This window comes from Homo sapiens, chromosome 6 (assembly GCF_000001405.40).
Source record: "Homo sapiens chromosome 6, GRCh38.p14 Primary Assembly".
In the NCBI taxonomy this organism is placed as follows: Eukaryota; Metazoa; Chordata; class Mammalia; order Primates; family Hominidae; genus Homo; species Homo sapiens.
In genome coordinates this window covers 34,695,107-34,716,152 of record NC_000006.12, presented here as the reverse complement: position 1 = coordinate 34,716,152, position 21,046 = coordinate 34,695,107, and the positions used below count along the sequence as shown (strand labels likewise).

General features: G+C 45.7%; 1 protein-coding gene, 1 long non-coding RNA gene and 1 pseudogene across 8 annotated transcripts in view, besides 2 other annotated features; 1 reads left to right on the top strand and 2 right to left on the bottom strand.

Moving 5' to 3' along the window:
• Positions 1–212: 212 nt before the first annotated feature.
• Positions 213–11,538, bottom strand: ATP6V1FP1 (ATP6V1F pseudogene 1; annotated as a pseudogene).
• Positions 11,539–18,681: 7,143 nt separating this feature from the next.
• Positions 18,682–19,999, bottom strand: ILRUN-AS1 (ILRUN antisense RNA 1). 2 transcript variants are annotated; one of them, NR_134625.1, is made up of 2 exons: positions 19,431–19,999; positions 18,682–18,994 (listed from the first exon to the last, which is right to left on the bottom strand). It is a non-coding gene; the product is annotated as an ILRUN antisense RNA 1 (long non-coding RNA). The 2 variants fall into 2 exon arrangements; NR_134626.1 differs by lacking the exon at positions 19,431–19,999 and adding an exon at positions 19,156–19,208.
• Positions 19,358–19,517: a silencer, noted in NCBI's record as "silent region_17081". NCBI's record gives its function as "represses an Ori minimal core promoter by ATAC-STARR-seq in GM12878 lymphoblastoid cells {active_cell/tissue: GM12878}" and the evidence as "EXISTENCE:reporter gene assay evidence [ECO:0000049][PMID:35858748]".
• The window catches only part of ILRUN (inflammation and lipid regulator with UBA-like and NBR1-like domains), a 109,480-nt gene continuing 107,819 nt past the window's right edge, over positions 19,386–21,046 (top strand). For all 6 annotated transcript variants that reach the window (XR_926300.4, XR_007059333.1, XR_007059332.1 and 3 more), the window contains exon 1: positions 19,386–19,707. Coding sequence is in view for 3 of the 6 variants with exons in the window: in NM_022758.6 (NP_073595.2) it covers positions 19,550–19,707 (158 nt within the window). In the remaining 3 variants the exon portion in view is untranslated. The remainder of the gene's footprint in view (positions 19,708–21,046) is intronic.
• Positions 19,788–19,857: a silencer, noted in NCBI's record as "silent region_17080". NCBI's record gives its function as "represses an Ori minimal core promoter by ATAC-STARR-seq in GM12878 lymphoblastoid cells {active_cell/tissue: GM12878}" and the evidence as "EXISTENCE:reporter gene assay evidence [ECO:0000049][PMID:35858748]".

The following is a 21,046-nucleotide window of genomic DNA, read 5'->3' as shown; positions in this document are numbered from 1 at the left end:
GGAGGTAGAAGATGGTCTGGCTTCCTGTTCCTTAACTAGCCTTGACTTTAACAGCAGAGCCCAAGCACCCTAGGAGCGCCTCACCTAGCCTCTTAATGAAGTGGGAAGAGGTGGGAATTGGAAGTCAGAGGCTCAGAACTTAAAGAAGGCTGATGGCAAGCCTGGGGAGAGGCCTGGAAATGAGGGAGGGGCTTTGGGCTGTGAGGAATCCCCTAGCGCAGGTCTTCGGCAGAGAACATGTCCCTGGCTCTGCCCAGGATGGATTCCTTGGCACAGTGTCATACGGGTGCTCCTCGGAGGGGATCTCCAGGATGACTGGAATGGGGCACTGGTGTGTATCCAAGGCGTGCCACACCATCTCTGTAATGTACAGGTTGATGAGGATGATGCCAATGTTGTCCCGTTCAGAAACTGCTGGAAAGTGTCTTTGATCTCACTGATGGTTGTATGCTTCTCCACCATCAGGAAATTGGGATAGTAGTTCTTGTTAAGCTCCCCTATGCCACCCGGCAGGAAAGCAGTCACCGTGTCCTGGTCTCCAAACTGTCTTTTTAGATGAGGAGTTGAGAACTGGAATGTACTTTTGTGTACATGAAAGTTATAGAGCTTGGCCGGGCACAGTGACTCACGCCTGTAATCCCAGCACTTTGGGAGGCCGAGGCAGGCGGATCACCTGAGGTCAGGAGTTGAGACCAGCCTGGTCAACATGGTAAAACCCCGTCTCTACTAAAAATATAAAAATTAGCTGGGCGTGGGCGCAGTGGCTCATGCCTGTAATCCCAGCACTTTGAGAGGCCGAGGCGGGTGGATCACAAGGTCAGGAGATCGAGACCATCCTGGCTAACATGGTGAAACCCTGTCTCTACTAAAAAATACAAAAAAAATTAGCCGGGCGTGGTGGCGGGCGCCTGTAGTCCCAGCTACTCGGGAGGCTGAGGCAGGAGAATGGCGTGAACCTGGGAGGCGGAGCTTGCAGTGAGCCGAGATCACGCCACTGCACTCCAGCCTGGGCGACAGAGCAAGACTCCGTCTCAAAAAAAAAAAAAAAAATTAGCTGGGTGTGGTGGTGCATGCCTGTAGTCTCAGCTACTTGGGAGGCTGAGGCAGGAGAATCACTTGAACCCAGGAGGCAGAGGTTGCAATGAGCGCAGATTGTGCCACTGCACTCCAGCCTGGGTGACAGAGCGACAGCCAGTCCAAAAAAAAAAAAAAGTTACAGAGCTCAACTAAAAGTCTGGCACTATGTTAATATGGGAGAGGCTGGGAGTGAGTGGGAGGTGTAGACAAAACAAGGCTGGCTGTCAGTTGATAATATTGAAGCTGGGTGACGCATACATGGGAGTGCATATACTATTCTATTCACTTTTTTGTTTGTTTCTTTGAGACGGCCTTGTTCTGTTCACCTGGGCTGTGGAGCAGTGGTGTGATCACAGCTTGCTGCAGCATCAACCTCCCAGGTTCAAGTGATCCTCCCACCTCAGCCTCCTGAGTGGCTGGAACTACAGCTGCACACCACCACACCCAGCTAATTTTTTTTTTTTTCTGTAAAGTTCTATTGAGTTAGCATATTTTCCTTTTTCTTTTTTGTACAGATGAGGTTTCACCATGTTGCCCAAGCCGGTCTTGAACTTCTGGCCTCAAGCAATCCACCTGTCTTGGCCTCTTAAAGTGCTGGGATTACAGGCATGAGCCATTGCACCCAGCCTACTTTTTTTTTTTTTTTTAAATAGAGTTTCTCTCTGTGCTCAGGCTGGAGTGCAATAGTATGATCATAGCTCACTGAAACTTTGAACTCCCAGGCTCAAGTGATCCCCCTGCATCAGCCTCCTGAGTACCTAGGATTATAGGCATGTACCACCACAACTGGGTAATTTTTTAAGTTTTTTTTTTTGGTAGAGACAGGGTCTTTCAGCCGGGTGTGGTGGCTCCCGCCTGTTATCCCAGCACTTTCGGAGACTGAGGCGGGTGGATCACCTGAGGTCAGGAGTTCGAGACCAGCCTGGCCAACATGGTGAAACTCCATCTCTACTAAAAATACAAAAATCAGCTGGGTGTGGTGGTGCACACCTGTAATCCCAGCTACTTGGGAGGCTGAGGCAGGAGAATCACTTGAACCCCAGAGGCAAAGGTTGCAACGAGCCCAGATTGCACCACTGTACTCCAGCCTGGGAAACAAGTGCTAAACTCTGTCTCAAAATAAATAAATAAATAAAATAAAAAATTTCCATAATAAAAAGGGAAAATATATTTTTAAAATATATATTTTTAAAATTTTTTTTTTTAAAAAAGGTCTAGCATCATGTTTAATTATATATTTGCAGATTTAGGTATTGAATGAGTTTGGGTATCTGATGTGAAAATCAAAACTTAGTAATATAGCATCTTTATAAAACACTTTATAGTTGGCAAAATATTTCCAGACTTTATCTCACAACTACTCTCAGAGGTAGATGGAGAGTACCTCTGAGATGATAATACTCCATTTCAGAGAAAAGAAAAGAGAAGTTCAAAGCAGTAGATCTGGGACTTTAACCCAGTTTTTAAACATGGAATTCAGTGATCTGCTCCTTTTATTCAAAATGGTTACAGCCCTATGCTTTTTCTGATTATAAAAATAAGCCTGGGAAACAGTGAGACCGTATCTCTACTTAAAAACAAACAAACAAACAAAAAATGTAGCTAGGCATGGTGGTCTGCCCCTGTAGTCCTAGCTACTCATGGGGTTGAGATGGGAGGATCTCCTGAGCCCAAGTGTTTGAGGTTACACTGAGCCATGATCATGCCACTGCACTCCGGCCTGGGTGACGGAATGAGACCCTGTCTCTAAAATAATAATATATGTATATAATTTTAAAACAATTTAAACAAATTACAAAGAAGAAAAATGTGACCTCACCACACAGAGGTAGGTATAGTTAACATTTTGTATATTATTCTTCAAAATTTTGTTTTTAATTTTTTTTTTTCTAGACGGAGTCTCTCTGTTGCCCATGCAATTCTTCTGCCTCAGCCTCCTAAGTAGCTGGGACTACAGGTGCACGCCCCCATGCCGAGCTAAGTTTTGTTTTGTTTTGTTTTGTTTTGTTTTGTTTTGTTTTGTTTTTGACAGAGTCTTGCACTGTTGCCAGGCTGGAGTGCAGTGGCGTAATCTCGGCTCAATGCAACCTCTGCCTCCTGGGTTCAAGCGATTCTCCTGCCTCTGCTTCCCAAGTAGCGGGGACTACAGGCACAGGCCACCATGCCCAGCTAATTTTTTTATTTTTAGTAGAGACAGAGTTTCACCATGTTGGCCAGGATGGTCTCTATCTCTTGTCCTCGTGATCTGCCTGCTTCGGCCTCCCAAAGTGCTGGGATTACAGACGTGAGCCACCATGCTCGGCCTGTTTTAAATTTCTTTTTACAAAAATAAACATATGACATAGTTTTGTAATCTTCTTTGTCTCTTGAAGAATTATGTAGTTTAAACATGTGCCCGTGTCAATAAATTCAGATCTGCATTTATTATATGGCACTCTTGTAACTAATTTAACTGATCTCCTTTTGTTAAGCATTTAGATGGTTTCCAATTTTTCAAAACTATGAACAATAGCAAAGTAAACTTTCTTGTATCTTGGCTCATTCATTATTTCCTTAGGATTCATGACTGGGAATGGAAAATCTGGGTCAAAGCATTTAGAAGAATTTTGCTACATATTGCCACCAATCTCAGAAATTTATGGATTTATATTCTCAACCATCCAGTTGGGTTTTTTTTCCCACCAATTGATAGTTGTTTTTCTTGAGACAAACGGAATTCAAACACACCAGTGAAAATACAGAGTTTAATTTGCTGACTTTTTTTTTTTTTTTTTTGAGATGGAGTCTCACTCTGTCACCCAGGCTGGAGTGCAATGGCGCGATCTCGGCTCACTGCAAGCTCCGCCTCCTGGGTTCAAGCGATTCTCCTGCCTCAGCCTCCCGAGTAGTTGGGACTACAGGCGCCCGCCACCACCCCTGGCTAATTTTTTTTGTATTTTTAGTAGAGACGGGGTTTCACCGTGTTGGCCAGGATGATCTCAATCTCCTGACCTCGTGATCCGCCCGCCTCGGCCTTCCAAAGTGCTGGGATTACAGGTGTGAGCCACCGCGCCCGGCCTAATTTGCTGACTTGTAATCAAGTTGAACTATTGAGCAAACCATTAATAAACAACTAACTTAATCTTCTGCTGGGCTCAGTGGTTTATGCCTGTAATCCCAGCACTTTGGGAAGCTGAGGCAGGAGGATCGCTTGAGCCCAGGAGTTCAAAACAAGCCTGGATAACAAAGTGAGACCTTGTCTCTACCAAAAACCAAAAAATTAGCCGGACATGGTGGCACGCACCTGTGGCTCCAGCTACTTGAGTCCAGGAGGTGGAGGCTGCAGTGAGCGGAGATCATGCCGTTGCACTCCAGCCTGGGCGACAGAGTAAAAGCTTGTTTCAAAAAAAAGAAAGAAAGAAAGAAAGAAAAGAAAAGAAGTGGTAATGACCTTCAAGCTTTAATGTGCATTAGAATCACATGGTGATTCCCGGGCTCTATTTGAAATAGACACACTGACTTATACTGTAGGGGTCTGGGACCCAAGAATGTGCTTTTTTTTTTTTTTTTTTTCCCTGAGACCGAGTCTTGCTCTGTTACTCAGGCTGGAGTGTAGTGGCACACTCTCGGCTCACTGCAACCTTCGCCTCCCAGGTTCAAATGATTCTCATGCCTCAGCCTCCCAAGTAGGTGGGATTACAGGTGCCCGCAACCGTGGCTCATTATTTTAATTTTAATTTTTAGTAGAGACGGGTTTTCAGCCATATTAGCCAGGCTGGTCTCGAGCTCCTGGCCTCAAATGATCCATCCCCCTTGGCCTCCCAAAGTGCTGGGATTATAGGCATGAGCCATTGCGCCCGGCCAATAATGGGCTTTTATTTTCTTTTTTTTTTGAGACAGAGTTTCACTCTTGTTGCCCAGGCTGGAGTGCAGTGGCACGATCTTGGCTCACTGCAACGTCCACCTCCTGGGTTCAAGCGATTCTCCTTTCTCAGCCTCTCAAGTAGCTGGGATTACAGGCACGCACCACCACACCCAGCTAATTTTTGTATTTTTAGTAGAGAAGGGGTTTCACCATGTTGGCCAGGCTGTTCTCAAACTTTTGACTTCAGGTGATCTGCCCGCCTTGGCCTCCCAAAGTACTGGAATTACAGGCATGAGCCAGTGTGCCCGGCCAAGAATGGGCATTTTTTTTTTTTTGAGATGGAGTCTCACTCTGTCGACCAGGCTGGAGTGCAGTGGTGTGATCTCAGTTCACTGCAAGCTTCGCCTCCTGGGTTCACGCCATTCCCCTTCCTCAGCCTCCCGAGTAGCTGGTACTACAGGCACCCACCATCACACCTGGGTAATTTTTTTTTTTTTTTTTTTTTTTGAGACGGAGTCTCGCTCTGTCGCCCAGGCTGGAGTGCAGTGGCGGGATCTCGGCTCACTGCAAGCTCCGCCTCCCGGGTTCACGCCATTCTCCTGCCTCAGCCTCCCAAGTAGCTGGGACTACAGGCGCCCGCCACTACGCCCGGCTAATTTTTTGTATTTTTAGTAGAGACGGGGTTTCACCGTGTTAGTTAGGATGGTCTTGATCTCCTGACCTCGTGATCCGCCCACCTCGGCCTCCCAAAGTACTGGGATTACAGATGTGAGCCACCGCGCCCGGCCAAGAATGGGCATTTTTAACAAGACCCACCTGCTCCCAAGTGACTGTGATTTAGGGAATTAGACCCTTGAGATACTAGCTTAAGGATACACACAACGATAGGTCAATAGTGTGCTGATTATGGACCTGTTTAGCTTTTGGCCACATGAGGTCTGGAGAGAGAAAGGAAATATTCACTTATTCTCTCTAGTCTTGGCCTCTTCCACCTCATTCTGTCTCTGTCTCTCTGACACACAGACACACACAGAGACACACACACACACACTCTTTTGTGGAGGAAATGAGCATTTTACCTTTGGGGATGCCTTTACAGCAGGCTGCTATTATCAGTTACAAAGAGTTCCTTTCTAGCGATTCCTGTTTAGGGCTTTCTGTTTTGTTCTGATTTGCTTTCTTTATCAAGCAGCCATCTTCGATGTTCCTAACCAGTTAAGCACCTGACAGTCACTTGATTTTTCCTTTTCTGTAGAAACTCACTTTAAATCATCCCAGAAGTTCTGCAGTGTGAGATTCGAGGAGATTGGAGGCAAATGAGTCCAGTGAAATTCTACGGGGTCTCTGAGAGGAGGCCCCTGGGTTATCATCACTTGTTAGCATGGTCCTTCAAAATTCAAACTTGCTTTCCAGGCATTTTCCTTTCCAGGATAGCTCCCCTTTGCCTAGCTTCAGGAAACAGCTTTTAATTTTCTCCTTGAAGGTCTATTTTTGACACAAAGGCTTCATTTTTCATAGAACCCTGCAGCTTTTCTATGTTTGGAGGCCTGGCAAAGGCGTCAGACATGTGACCCTCCTAGGCAGGTCTGCCCTTGAAAAATGTATGCTAAGGGGAGGGCTGAGGCCTTCCTTGCTCCCTGAGGCCTCGCCCCTACCCAGATGCCTGCCTGGGCCCACTGCCGAGGGCCCCCTGCCAGCTGTCACATGTCCAGCCAGAGCAGCACTACCCACGCATGTAGAGCCGAACTGTGTCTCATCTTTCCAGGGTCAAGTTCATGCAGACAATTTATTTTTCTGATAAGTGACTCCTATTACTGGGAAAGGACCAGATGACTGCCATTTATCCTTTTATATATATATATATATAAAATTATTCATTCACAGATATTTTCTGTTTATGCCAAACGTTTATCTCTGCCACATGCAGTATACTTCATGGTAACAAAACCAAAGGGCCAGGTAAAAAACAACACTTTGTTGAAATATAATTTACATACAATAATGTTCACCCATTTAAAGTGTACAGTTTGGCAGGGCGTGGTGGCTCATGCCTGTAATCCCAGCGCTTTGGGAGGCCGAGGTGGGTGGATCACTTGAAGTCAGGAATTCTAGACCAGCCTGGCCAACATGGCAAAATCCCATCTGTACTAAAAATACAAAAATTAGCTGGGCGTGGTGGTGTGCACCTGTAATCCCAGCTACTTGGGAGGCTGAGCCTGGACAATTGCTTCAACCTGGGAGGTGGAGGTTGCAGTGAGCCAAGATTGCACCACTGCACTCCAGCCTGGGTGACAGAGCGAGACTCTGTCTCCAAAAAAAAAAAAAAAAGTGTACAGTTTGATGAGATTTGATAAATGCATATACCCATGTAACTGTTACCACAATTAAGCTATAGAACAATTCCATTAACCCAACCCAAAAGATCCACTCATGCCCCTTCCAGTCAATTCTCTGGGCCCCCTCCAAGCTTCCCTGCACCACGAGGCACCACTGGGGTCACTTCATCACTATAGCTCAGTTTTACCTATTCTTGAACTTCATATAAGTGGAATTACACAGTATATATTCCTTTGTGTCTGGCTTTTTTTGCTCAATATGTTTCTGAAATTCATCCATGTTGCTGTACCTATCAATAGTTTATTCCTTTCAATTACTGAGTAGTATTCCATTGTGTGGGCATATTACAATTTGTTTATCCATTTGCTTATTGATGAACAGTTAGGTTGTTTCCATTACTTGAATACTGCAAATAAAACTGGTATGAATGGGCCGGGTGCGATGGCTCACACCTGTAATCCCAGCACTTTGGGAGGCCAAGATGGGCCGATCACCTGAGGTCGGGAGTTCAAGACCAGCCTGGCCAACATGGTGAAACCCCCTCTCTACTAAAAATGCAAAAATTAGCCGGGTGTGGTAGCACACACCTGTAGTCCCAGCTACTTGGGAGGCTGAGGCAGAAGAATTGCTTGAACCCAGGGGGCGGAGGTTGCACTGAGCTGAGATCGCGCCACTGCACTGCAGCCTGGACAACTGAGCAAGACTCCATCTCAGAAAACAAAAAAAACCTGCTATGAATGTTCATGTACAAGTATTTGTACAGACATATGCTTTCATTTATTTTGAGTAAATAGATAGGAGCAGAATATTTTGGTTTTGCAGTAAGCGTAAGCATATGCTTAACTTTTAAAGAAATGGGGCATCAAAGTATGATGTAGACTGATTAAAAAAGGAAACAAAAAGAAATGGGACAGTTAAAAACATCTCATTTTTTGTTGTCAATTCTATATTATATGTCAAGAATGTCAACTCCTATTATATTTCAAGAATTCCAGCTTTCTATTCTTGTGGTTCATTTGGAGAGAGAACTGTTTTGAGTCAGAAGTCTGGGCCAGGACCCCTTGACCTCAGGAGTTCAAGACATGCCTGGGCAACATAGTGAGACCTCGTCTTAAAAAAAAAAAGTCAGAAATCTGGGGCTTGGCCCAAGTAGCTTAGTTCTAGACCTGAATTTTGAAAAGAGGGTCATTTAGCTTCTTCAGAGCTTCAATTCCCTAATCTTTAAATTAGGGCTAATAATTTCTTATGACAATCAGAAATTGGAAGTAGTCTCAAACTTCATCAACAGGTCACTGGTCAAGGGAAATGTATCCTTAAATTGGAATACTATACAATCATTAAAAATAATAATGGAGTTGGGTGCAGTGGCTCATGCCTGTAATCCCAGCACTTTGGGAAGCTGAGGCAGGAGGATTGTTTGAGCCTAGGAGTTAAAGACCAGTTTGGGCAACATAGTGAGATCTCATCTCTACAAAAAATTAAAAAATTAGCTGAGCTTGGTGGAGTGTGCCTGTAGTCCCAACTACTCTAGAGGCTGAGGTGGGAGGATTGCTTGAGCCTAGGAGGTCAAGGCTGCAGTGAGCCATGATTGTGCCACTGCACTCCAGCCTGGGTTCCAAGACCCTGTCTCAAAAACAAAAACTAGAAAATAAACAAACAAAATTAAAATAAATATAAATAATGACATGCATATATATTTACTGATGTGGAAAGCTGTTGTCAGCATACTCTCAGTGAAAAAAAGCAGCCTAGAAAGGCAGAGTATGATCCCATTTAGTCACATTATACAAATGGAGAAACAGATGAAAAACATATTTACTCAAATATTAACAGTGGTTATCTCTGAGTAGTGGGATTTAGGGTGATTTTTACTTTCTTTTTTTTACAATTTCTATATTGCTTAATTTTAGTTGCAACAAGCATGTATGAGTCTTTCAAAAATAATAAAGCTATTAAAAAATAAGCCAATGTAATTTTGTTTTTCCTGAGAATGAGATAAGAGAATATATGGATATATTGAAAAACTATAAGGTATTACTAGTGACATGGCCAAAGAAAATAAAACATTAAAACAATGAAAAAATAAGGAAGGCCGGGCATGGCAGCTCACACCTGTAATCCCAGCACTTTGGGAGGCCGAGGTGGGTGGATCACTTTAGGTTAGGAGTTCGAGACCAGCCTGACCAACATAGAGAAACCCCGCCTCTACTAAAAATACTAAAATTAGCTGGGAGTGGTGGCACAGGCCTGTAATCCCAGCTACTCGGGAGGCTGAGGCAGGAGAATCACTTGAACCCAGGAGATTGAGGCTGCGGTGGGCCGAGATTGAACCATTAGACTCCAGCCTGGGCAACACGGGCGAAACTCCATCTCAAAAAAAAAAAAAAAAAAGAAAAGAAAAAATAAGGATAAAAGTAAACTGTCAAGTGTTACATAAATTTAAGATATTGGTATTTTTTTGTTTTGTTTTGTTTTGTTTTATTTTGTTTTTTGAGACAGGGTCTCACTCTGTTGCCCAGGCTGGATAGCAGTAGCACTATCTTGGCTCACCCCAACCTCCGCCTCCCGGGTTCAAGCGATTCTCCTGCCTCAGCCTCCTGAGTAGCTGGTATTATAGGCACGTGCCACCACTCCCAGCTAATTTTTGTATTTTTAGTGGAGGTGGGGTTTCACCATGTTGGCCAGGCTGGCCTTGGCCTCCCAAAGTGCTGGGATTATAGGCATGAGCCACTGTGCCTGGCTAAGGTATTGGTATTAATATTAGTATTTATTAGCTTAGTCTCCTCTAAAAGGATCTTGAAAATCATCAAAGTAATCTCATAAAAGAAAGTAATGATGGCTCCTTACAAACACAAGCAGGCTGAACACAGTGAAAATGTAAAATCCTTAGGATTGAAAGAGGCCGGGTGCAGTGGCTCATGTCTATAATCCCAACACTTTGGGAGGCTGAGGCAGGAGGATTGCTTGAGGCCAGGAGTTCAAGGCCAACCTGGCCAACATAGCAAGACTCTGTCTCTATTATAAAAATAATAAAAATTTGAACACAGTATTTAAACTTTTAATTTCTATTTCCTGATCTGCAAATTGGAATAATAATAATAATGATCTCATTTTGTTGTGAAAATTAAATGAACCAAAGTACTTAATGTGATGGACTCTGACACACTGGAGAGTTCGTTAAATATTTGTTCCCTTTTTTCTCCTTTTCTTTCTTAACTTTACCTGAGATGCAGACAGCAAGATGTTATACACATTGGAACCCAGTTGGTAAAAAAGAGTGAAGAGAATGATTATAATAAAATGGGAGAGGCTGTGGGTTTCTGTTTTTGTTTTTTTAACATGAGGGAGAGATAAGGAGTTCATGTTTACTTGGAGGATGTTTGACTTGGCAAACTAAAAGGGCCAAGAAGAGAAGGGGGGAAAAAAAGAAAAAGAAGAATGGACTACTTCTGGATGAATCTAGGCCAAGGGACGTGAGATAAAGACAGTCAGGTTTTCGTCTGCATTCTCCCATTCACCACAGTAGGAAAAAAGAGACCCAGGGTCTCAGATGCTTTGTCCAGAAGAAAAAATAGTACAATAGGCCGGTGCCTCCCATTTGAGTATCTTTTGAGTAGGGTAGTAGGGTAGAAGAACTGGAAAAACCCCAAATGTGGGGGTCTGGTCCTTTCCCATCATGCTTTGGGAGGATATTGAAAGTGGAGGGCTGCTCTTCAACCTCACCTATTCACTTCCCAGAGAAAATATACCCCCCCAGGTAGAACTTAGATTGCATTTCCTTTTCCTGGAGTGACTTCTAGGTATGTTTTTGTGTTCAGTACAGAAAACAGGAAGCAGCAAAAAGAGCCAGGTCTTGGCTGGGCACAGTGGCTCACGCCTGCAATCCCAGCACTTTGGGAGGCAGAGGCAGATGGATCACCTGAGGTCAGGAGTTCGAGACCAGCCTGGACAACATAGTGAAACTCTGTCTCTACTAAAAATACAAAAATTAGCCAGGCGTGGTGGCGGGCGCCTGTAATCCCAGCTACTTGGGAGGCTGAGGCAAGAGAATCTCTTGAACCCAGGAGGCAGAGGTTGCAGTGAGCCAAGATCACACCACTGCACTCCAGCCTAGGCGGCAGAGTGAGACTCTGTCTCAAAATAAGTAAATAAGAGCCAGGGTCTTGGAGCCGTTCAAAGCTTCTAAATGACTTTGTCATAATGCATTTCCTTACTAGCCTGTTCCTCAAACTCTGTGGAGAATCATCCAGGCCTCCTGGGTCAAGTCTCCTGGAAGGCATCTCTGGGCACCCCAACCTACCCTTTACTCTTCCCTCCTCCCAAGTCCTACAGCCTCGTTGTCTACTTCCCATTTGGCACTTGAACATATGCAGCTTTGCACGGTTGCCTGCCTTTATATAGTTATTTATAGAAATGTATGTCCTTGTCTCTCCCAATGTCATATAAGACTTTAATATTTTACATTTACAAGTGCTTATGCCTACCTCATTTAAACCTCCATTCCTGGGAAACAAACACAGAATGGAAATTTTGGCTTGTGCTAGTTGTAGCCATACATTACATTCCAAACTTTTTTTTTTTTTGAGTTGGAGTCTCGCTCTGTCGCCAGGCTGGAGTGCAGTGGCATGATCTCGGCTCACTGCAACCTCCGACTCCCCGGTTCAAGCGATTCTCCTGCCTCAGCCTCCTGAGTAGCTGGGATTACAGGCATGCGCCACCAAGCCCAGCCAATTTTTGTATTTTTAGTAGAGACGGGGTTTCACCATGTTGGCCAGGATGGTCTCAATCTCCTGACCTGGTGATCCACCCGCCTTGGCCTCCCAAAGTGCTGGGATTACAGGTGAGAGCCACTGCGCCCCGCCCAAATTCCAAACATCTTTTTGGTTTTGTTTGACTTATTCTTTCGAACTTTTTACAGCATTCCCTGTATAGAGATGAGGAAACTAAGGTCTAGAGTGAAGCTGTATAATTTGGTCACAGTCACACAGCAAAAGAATAAGGGTTCTCTTTCCGGACCACTGTCCCCAACTCAGCCTTTCTCATAGTAAGCCCGCAGACATTTGCTTGCTCAACTGAATAGCCCATCTCATTGTTAGCTGCTTCCTTGGCTTTGCAGCTTTTGAGGTTTCTCCCTTGACAGGGAGACTATACAGAATTAAAATGAACGAATGTTTGAAAAGCTCCCCAGGCCATCCAATTTTCTTTTCTTCAAAATGAAGTGTCTCTTTATGTTTTATTACATGATCATTAAAAAAGTACAGTCAAAAAATATTAAAATATCCATCATTGTCCATACCTAGAGATTGTCATTGTTATACCTTGGAGTATATCCTTCCAGACATCTCTCTCACACTTATTCATGAACCTGTCTTAGAAACTGAATCATATGTAATACTACTGCTTTGTCATATCTTTTTTTTTTTTTTTTTTTTTTTTAGACAGAGTTTTGCTCTTGTTGCCCAGGCTGCAGTGCAATGGCACGATCTCGGCTCATTGCAACCTCCATCTCCCAGGTTCAAGTGATTCTCTTGCCTCAGCCTCCTGAGTAGCTGGGATTACAGGTGCATGCCACCACGCCCTGCTACTTTTGTATTTTTAGTAGAGACAGGGTTTCACCATGTTAGTCAGTCTGGTCTCGAACTCCTGACCTCAGGTGATCTGCCTGCCTTGGCCTCCCAAAGTGCTGGGATTACAGGCGTGAGCCACCGCGCCCGGCTGGGTATCTTTTATCATTTAAGAATACATTGTGACGCTGAGTACGGTGGCTGATGCCTATAATACCAGCACTCTGGGAGGCTGAGGCAGCAGGACTGCTCAAGCCCAGGAATTCCAGGCTGGAGTGAGTTATTTTGCCACTGCATTTCAGTCTTGGTGGAAAAGCAAGACCCCAAACGTTTAAAAAAATTGACATGTAATTCTTGCTTCCCAAATAAAAGCTTTAAAGATCATCCATGTTAACAGAGATAATAGAGATAATTCTGTCTCATTATTCTTTTTTTTTTGAGATGGAGTCTCAGTCTGTCTCCCAGGCTGGAGTGCAGTGGCACAATATTGGCTCACTGCAACCTCTACCTCCCAGGTTCAAGCGATTCTCCTACCTCAGCCTCCCCAGTAGCTGGAATTACAGGCGCGCAGCACCACACCCAGCTAATTTTTGTATTTTTAATAGAGACGGGGTTTTGCCATGTGGGCCAGGCTGGTCTCAAACTCCTGACCTCAGGTGATCCGCCTGCCTTGGCCTCCTACAGTGCTGGGATTATAGGCGTGAGCCACCGCGCCCGGCCTCTGTCTCATGATTCTTAGTGGACCAGCCAGTTGAAACTTTTTGAATATTTATTTTATTTTATTTTATTTTATTTTATTTTATTTTATTTTAAGATAGGGTCTTGCTCCATTGCCCCAGGCTGGAGTGCAGTGGCACAATCTCTGCTCACTGCAGCCTTGACCTCCTCTGTTCAAGAGATCCTCCCACCTCAACCTCCCCAGTAGCTGGGATTACAGGCGTGCACACCGCCCCCGGTTAGTTGTTCTTATGTTTTATTTTTGTCTCACTAGTTGACAGGGCTGGTCTTGAGCTCCTGAGCTCAAGTGATCCTACTGCCTTGGCCTCCCAAAGTGCTGGGATTATAGGCGTGAGCCACCTTGCCCGGTTCTATTTATTTATTTAGAGACGAAGTCTCCCTCTGTTGCCCAGGCTGGAATGTAATAGTAGGTTCTCAGCTCACTACAATCTCCACCTCCTGGGTTCAAGCGATTTTCCTGCCTCAGCCTCCTGAGTAGCTGGGATTACAGGCATGCACCACCACACCTGGTTAATTTTTGTATTTTTAGTAGAGACTAGGTTTCACCATCTTGGCCAGGCTGGTCTCAAACTCCTAACCTCAGGTGATCTGCCTGCCTGGGTCTTCCAAAGTGCTGGGATTACAGGCGTGAGCCACTGCACGCTGCCATATTTATTTATTTAAATACGGGAAAGTATAAAAAAGAAAAGTAAAATTATTATTAATAATTATTAATATTTCCAATCTTTTGCTATGTGGATAAGTTCATATAGTATATTAAGTGACATACTGTTTTCTTCACTTAACGTAGCATAGGCAAATTGTATGGTAAAAATTCTTCAATACATGCTTATTGTCAAAACTTGGAAAATGTAAAACAAACAAACAAACAGGGCCAGGTGCAGTGGCTTACACCTGTAATCCCAGCACTTTGGGAGGTCGAGGCAGGAGGATAGCCTGAACTCAGGAGTTCAAGACCAGCCTGAAGAACATGGCAAAACCTTGTCTCTACAAAAAATACAAAAATTAGCTGGGCGTGGTGGCATGCGCCTGTAGTCTCTGCTACTCTGGAAGCTGAGGTGGTAGGATTGCTTGAGCCCAGGAGGTGGAGGTTGCAGTGAGCTGAGATTGCACTGTTGCACACTGCACACTCCAGCCTGGGCAACAGAGCTAGATGAAAGAAAAAAAGAGAGAGAGAAAAAGAGAGAGAGAGAAAGAAAAGAGAGAGAGAGAGAGAGGGAAGGAAGGAAGGAAGGCAGGCAGGCAGGCAGGCAGGCAGGCAAGCCGGGCGCAGAGGCTTTGTAATCCCAGCACCTTGGGAGGTCGAGGCGGGCGGCAGATCACTTGAGATCAGGAATTCGAGACCAGCCTGGCCAACATGGCGAAACCCACCTCTACAAAAAATAAAAAAAGATTAGCCAGGCATGGTGGCTAATGCCTGTAATCCCAGCTACTCAGGAGGCTGAGTGAGGCAGGAGAATCGCTTGAACCTGGGAGGCAGAGGTTACAGTGAGTGCAGATCTTGTGCCACTGCACTCCAGCCTTGGCAACAGAACGAGACTCTGTCTCAGAAAAAAATAAAAAATAAAATAATAGTACATAATAATAAAGGCCGGGGCTGGTGGCTCATGTCTGTAATCCTAGCACTTTGGGAGGACGAAGTGGGTGGATCACCGGAGGTCGGGAGTTTCAGACCGGCCTGGCCAACATGGTGAAACCCCGTCTCTACCAAAAATACAAAAAATTTAGCCAGGCGTGGCGGCAGGCGCCTGTAATCCCAGCTACTTGGGAGGCTGTGGCAGGAGAATCACTTGAACCTGGAGGCAGAGGTTGCAGTGAGCCCAGATAGGGCCACTGCTCTCTAGCCTGGGCAATGGAGCGAGACTGTCTCAAAATAAATAAATAAAAATAATATTTATTATTATTTTTTGAGACAGTCTCGCTCTGTTGCTCAGGCTGAAGTGCAATGGTGGGATCTCAGCTCACTGTGAGCTCCGTCTTTTGGGTTCAAGTGATGATTCTCCTGCTGCAGCCTCTTGAGTAGCTGGGATTACAGGCGCCTGCCACCACGCCTGGCTAATTTCTTTTTTTTTTTTTTTTGAGAGCAACTTTTGCTCTTGTTGCCCAGGCTGGAGTGCAATGGCGCGATCTCGGCTCACTGCAACCTCTGCCTCCCGGGTTCAAGTGAGTCTCCTGCCTCAGCCTCCAGAGTAGCTAGGATTACAGACATGCACCACCACGCCAGGCTAATTTTGTATTTTTAGTTGAGACGGAGTTTCTCTGTGTTGGTCGGGCTGGTCTCGAACTCCCAACCCCAAGTGATCTGCCCGCCTCAGCCTCCCAAAGTACTGGGATTACAGGCGTGAGCCACCACGCCTCACCAATTTCTTGTATTTTTAGTAGAGATGGGGTTTCACCATGTTGGCCAGGCTGGTCTCGAACTCCTGACCTCAGGTGATTCATCCGCCTCAACCTCCCAAAGTGCTAGGATTACAGGCATGAGCCACCATGCTTGGCCAATAGCTATATACTTTTACCTCACCAATAACATTTTAAAAAAATCATTGAAAAGTTTATCCTTAAAAAAAAGTCTTCTTTCGTGGGGACAAAAAATAAAAATAAAAATAAAAAATAAAAAATAACTACCAAATTAATATATACTCACTGTAAACATTCAAGCAGTATAGAAACTTAACATAAAAGTAAACATTCCCAATAGTTTGGGTTGCCAGAGTTAGCAAATAAAAATAGAGGACACCTAGTTAATGTATGGGACGTATTTATACTAAAAATACCTTGTTTATGTAAAAATGTAAAAATATGTAAGAATGATAATGTATCTTTGTTTTAATTTGCATATCCTAATTATTCATGAAGTTTAAAATATTTTCATTCATTTTCAAGTCTTTAATATATACATTTTTAAGAGACAGAGTCTTCGCCAGGCAAGGTGGCTCGTGCCTGTAATCCCGGCACTTTGGGAGGCCGATGGCAGATCACTTGAAGTCAGGAGTTTCAGACCAGCCTGACCAACATCGGTGAAAATCCGTCACTACCAAAAAATACAAAAATTAGCTGGGCATGGTGGTGCACACATGTAGTCCCTGCTACTTGCGAGGCTGAGGCGGGAGAATTGCTTGAACCTCAGAGGCAGAGATTGCAGTGAGCCGAGATCTCGCCACTGCACTCCAGCCTGGGCGACAGAGCAAGACTCTGCCTAAAAAAAAAAGGGAGACTGAGTCTTGCTCAGATGCCTAGGCTCCAGTGCAGTGGCACGATCACAGCTCACTGCAGCCTCAAACTCCTAGGTGCAAGCTATCTTCCTGCTTCAACCACCTGGAGCAGGTGGGACTACAGGTGCCTACCAGTTAACCTAGCTATTTTTAAAATTTTTTGGTAGAGATGGGGTCTTGCTACACTGCCTGCCCAGGCTGGTCTCAAACTATTGGCCTCAAGTGATCCTCCCATTATTGATCTTTTTATTTTTATTGTAAATTTTATTTTACAATAAAATAAAATTTTATGGATCTTTTTATTTTTATATGTAAATTTTTTTAATTTTTTTTTTTTGAGACAGCATCTCCTGTCACCCAGGCTGGAGTGCAGTGGCAGGAACATGGCTCACTGTAGCCTCAACCTCCTGGGCTCAAATGATCCTCCCTCCTCAGCCTCCCATGTAGCTGGGACCATGGGTGAGCACTACCACGTGTGATCAATTTTTAAATTTTTTGTGGCGTGGTGGTCACACCATGTTGCTTAGGCTGGTCTCGAATTCCTGGGCTCAAGCTATCCTCCCACCTCCTCATTGACCTTAATAGCTTTTTATTTATTACATAAAAATGTTAGGGCATAGTGGCTCATGCCTGTAATCCCAACACTTTGGGAGGCTAAGGCAGGAGTATCTCTCAAGCCCAGAAGTTTGAGATCAGCCCGGGCAACACAGTGAGACCCTGTCTCTAAAGAAAGTTGAAAAAAAAAACATTAGCCGGGCATGGTGGCGCCCACCTGCAGTTCCGCCTTCCTGGGGGGCTGAGGTGGGAGGATTGCTTGATCCCAGGAGTTCAAGGCTGCAGTGAGCCGTGATCCTACCATTGCACTCCAGCATGGGCAACAGAACAAGATCTTGTCTCAAAAAAAAAAAAATTGAATTATGTAGAGCGTTTAGGTGTGGGCTAAGACCTTAGTACTGTACGGGATTGACAGAGAGTTTTGAATTTTTCCCTGAATCAGCATTCTGATGGAGTCACCAGGTTCCAATAATATCTTTTTTTGGATCCTTGGTCAACACAATTTTCATCCATGGATACTGCAAGTTAAAACACTTTCTAGAAGTCTATGGTCCTAACATCAAATTAGTTCTTGGGTCAAATTTTTAATTTTTGTGTAAGGCCCCAATTGAACTTAATGTAGAAAGGGAATGTAGCAGGGTATAGTGAATGGAGTGCTAAACTGGGAGTTTGGAACCCACTTTCCAGCTGTGTAATCTTGAGTGAGTCATTTCCGCTCTCTCCATTTCAATGTCTTCATCTGTAGAATGGGGAGGTTGGACTCGACAGTCTCAGTTCCTTTCAGTTATTACATTGAGATTTTTATAATCTTTCTGTCTCTATTGCATTATCCAAAAGATTGGGACAAAACATGTTCACCTCTCAGTCCCAAATGTGCATGACTCCAGAACCTAGGCTTTTTAAGCCACTGTAGTTTACTCTCTTGGTAGTGGGACAGAGGAGGTAGAATGCGTTCCCTTTCCAAAACATCCTGGCCCCCGACACATTACTACTTATTCCAGCTGTTATTGAAATTGTGGAAAACACACTTCATAAGGAACCAGAAACCTGGGTTCTAGTTTTGGGGCTCTGTATTTTTTGGACAACGCACGTAAGCTTACTTCCCTTATTTGCAAAATAGGGGGCTACTTGAAGGCAGAAGACCATTTCTCACTCATCCCCCCCCACCCCTCCCCGCCTTGGATCTAGCAGTGCTGGGCAATTCGCGATATTTCAAAAACATTTCCTAACAGAAGAGGGTAGACAAGATAGTCTCTATGCTTCCTTTCTCATTCTTTGACAGACCTTGACCGGGAAGGTGTACGATATATACAGAAATACTTTGTCTTCTATTTTAAACACAGAACAAGGCATGCTAAATTCTCATGACTTTATTTTGATTGGGTTGTTCCTGACGGAGTGGGTGGAAGGTTATGGATGTTTGTATCGAGACCTTTTTTATCTTCCGGAGACACGATGCTACCGTTGCATAACACAAACAGCACCGATAAAATGTAGTAATAGGAAAGAGTGCCAGGGAATCAAGACTTTAAGGCAGCATCCCACTGGGAAAGCAGCTCTTCAAACACGTCCTTCAAGCGCGAGTGGCAGACTCCTTGCTGGGAGGGCTGAGTGCACTTTGCTACTTGACCTTGCCACTGTCTCTCCCGGGACTTCAGTTTCCTCACCTGCAAAATGGTAGAGTTGTTATAAACGAAAATCCCTCAACTTCTCCCGCAGCCCCAGGCTTTAACGGCTCTCCTTGAGGGTGGGGACGGGGCGGAGTAATGGTCTGGCCAGAAGCCTCCCCCGCCCCCCACGGCTGGACCATCTCTTTCCTCCTTCCTACTTTTCGCTCCATCGCCCCGCAGCGGTGAGGTCACGCGGGGACGTCACGAGTTTGTGACGACACTAAGAGGCGGGCGTCCGGGAGAGGAAGGGGCGGGGCCTGGGCGGGCGACGCTTGCGCAGTGGGCGCGGCGCGGGAGGAGGCGGAGGCGGCGGAGTGGCGAGAGGCGAGAGGCGGCGGAGGCGGCGGAGCTGGGGGGGGTGGGAGGGGGGGGAGAGTGAGTGAGTGGCAGAGTGAGTTTACCCCTATGAGACTGTGAGAGGCCCGGGGCCTACCTCAAAGGAGCGGGGTCGCGAAGCTAGCTAGCAGCGGCCCCCCTCCAGGTCCCCGGGCCCGGCGGCGCGGCGGCGGCTTGGTTGTGAAGAGGCGGGGAAGCGGGTGTCCGGTCCCCGCCATGGAGGGCATGGACGTAGACCTGGACCCGGAGCTGATGCAGAAGTTCAGCTGCCTGGGCACCACCGACAAGGACGTGCTCATCTCCGAGTTCCAGAGGCTGCTCGGCTTCCAGCTCAATCCTGCCGGTTGCGCCTTCTTCCTGGACATGACCAACTGGTGAGCCGGCCCCGCAGTGCCAGCGCTGGCAGCGGCCTCGGGGGCCCCGAGGGGAAGGGAAGGGACACTTGAGCTTGGCGGCAGGGCGAGCCAGGCGGGTACTGAGGGCCACCCCTTCCCGGGACGGGGAGGACGAGTCGGGGAGCCCCGTGGGCATAGGGAGTATTTGGGGGCTGAGCAGGGCTAAAGGAGAGTTAGGGACCACGGAGGCAGGAGGGGCGGAAGGGAGATGGTGGGGGCGAGCTCCTAAGGTTTTTCGAGGATTAGGGGCCAAGGGACGTGGGATGAGGGGAAAAGACTTGGGCATCCAGGCATAGTGGGTAGACTTGGGAGGAAAAGGGTTATGGTGTTGGCTGAGAGTAAAAAGCACAGGAGATCTGGATTTGGGGAGTGGGGAAAAAGGTTGGGGTTTGGAGTGAGGGGCTGAGGATGCCAGGATTGGGCGGAAACTATAGGGAAGGATTAGGTGCTGTGGAACAACCTGAGCACTGGAGAGCTTGGGAGTTAGGAGCTGAGAACAGATTAATTTATGTGTCTGTCTCTTTCCATCTGAGGATAGATAGGGAAAAGGGGGTGATATTATGGGGGAAGACAAGGGGGTATGGTGAGGGAGATGACTTTCTTGAGAGTTATGCCAGGGAGGAGTAGGATCTACTAGTAAATCGACACATGGAGGACCCGGAGTGTTAGACTTGGGACAGGGCCTGGGAACCACCTTAGGAAAAGTGGGGGAAATGAGATGATCTTGGGGGAAGGAACTTTCTGAAGGGACAGGACTCCTGGCAGAGGGTTCATCTGGGGTCACCAGAATGCTGGGAATGGAGAGGGGCTTATCTGAAAGAAAGCTAAGTTGACAGATGTTTGGGAAAATGGAGAACTTAGGCTGGGAGCCAAGTATTTTTGGCTTCACCTTGTAGAAGGCTGAATTGGGACAGAAGACTACCCGACGTAAAGGAGTGTTTCTTGGCTTTGGAAGTAGCACTTGCTGTCGTTGTTAAGCAACGCTTCCCCTTGTACTCTGAATAGAGGTTGTTGGATTCACTCAGAGGCAGAGTTGCAGTGGAGACGATTAGACTTTCTTTGAAAGGATTTCAGGTGAAGCAACTAATATTTCTTTGGGCAAAAGGCAAAAGGTTCAGTGCCCTTTGCTCTGTTGGGCATTCAGTCTCCTGACATGTGGAATCTTGTTTCTCTTGGCATCACTTGCACAACCAACCTCTCTTTTATTCCTTATCCACTGAATGCCTCAAGCAACGCTGGAAAAGAGGCTGTAAGCCTACTTTTTATCCCACTCCTACCTAGTTCTACCCTGGATGATGCTCATCTATTAGTAGGAGTG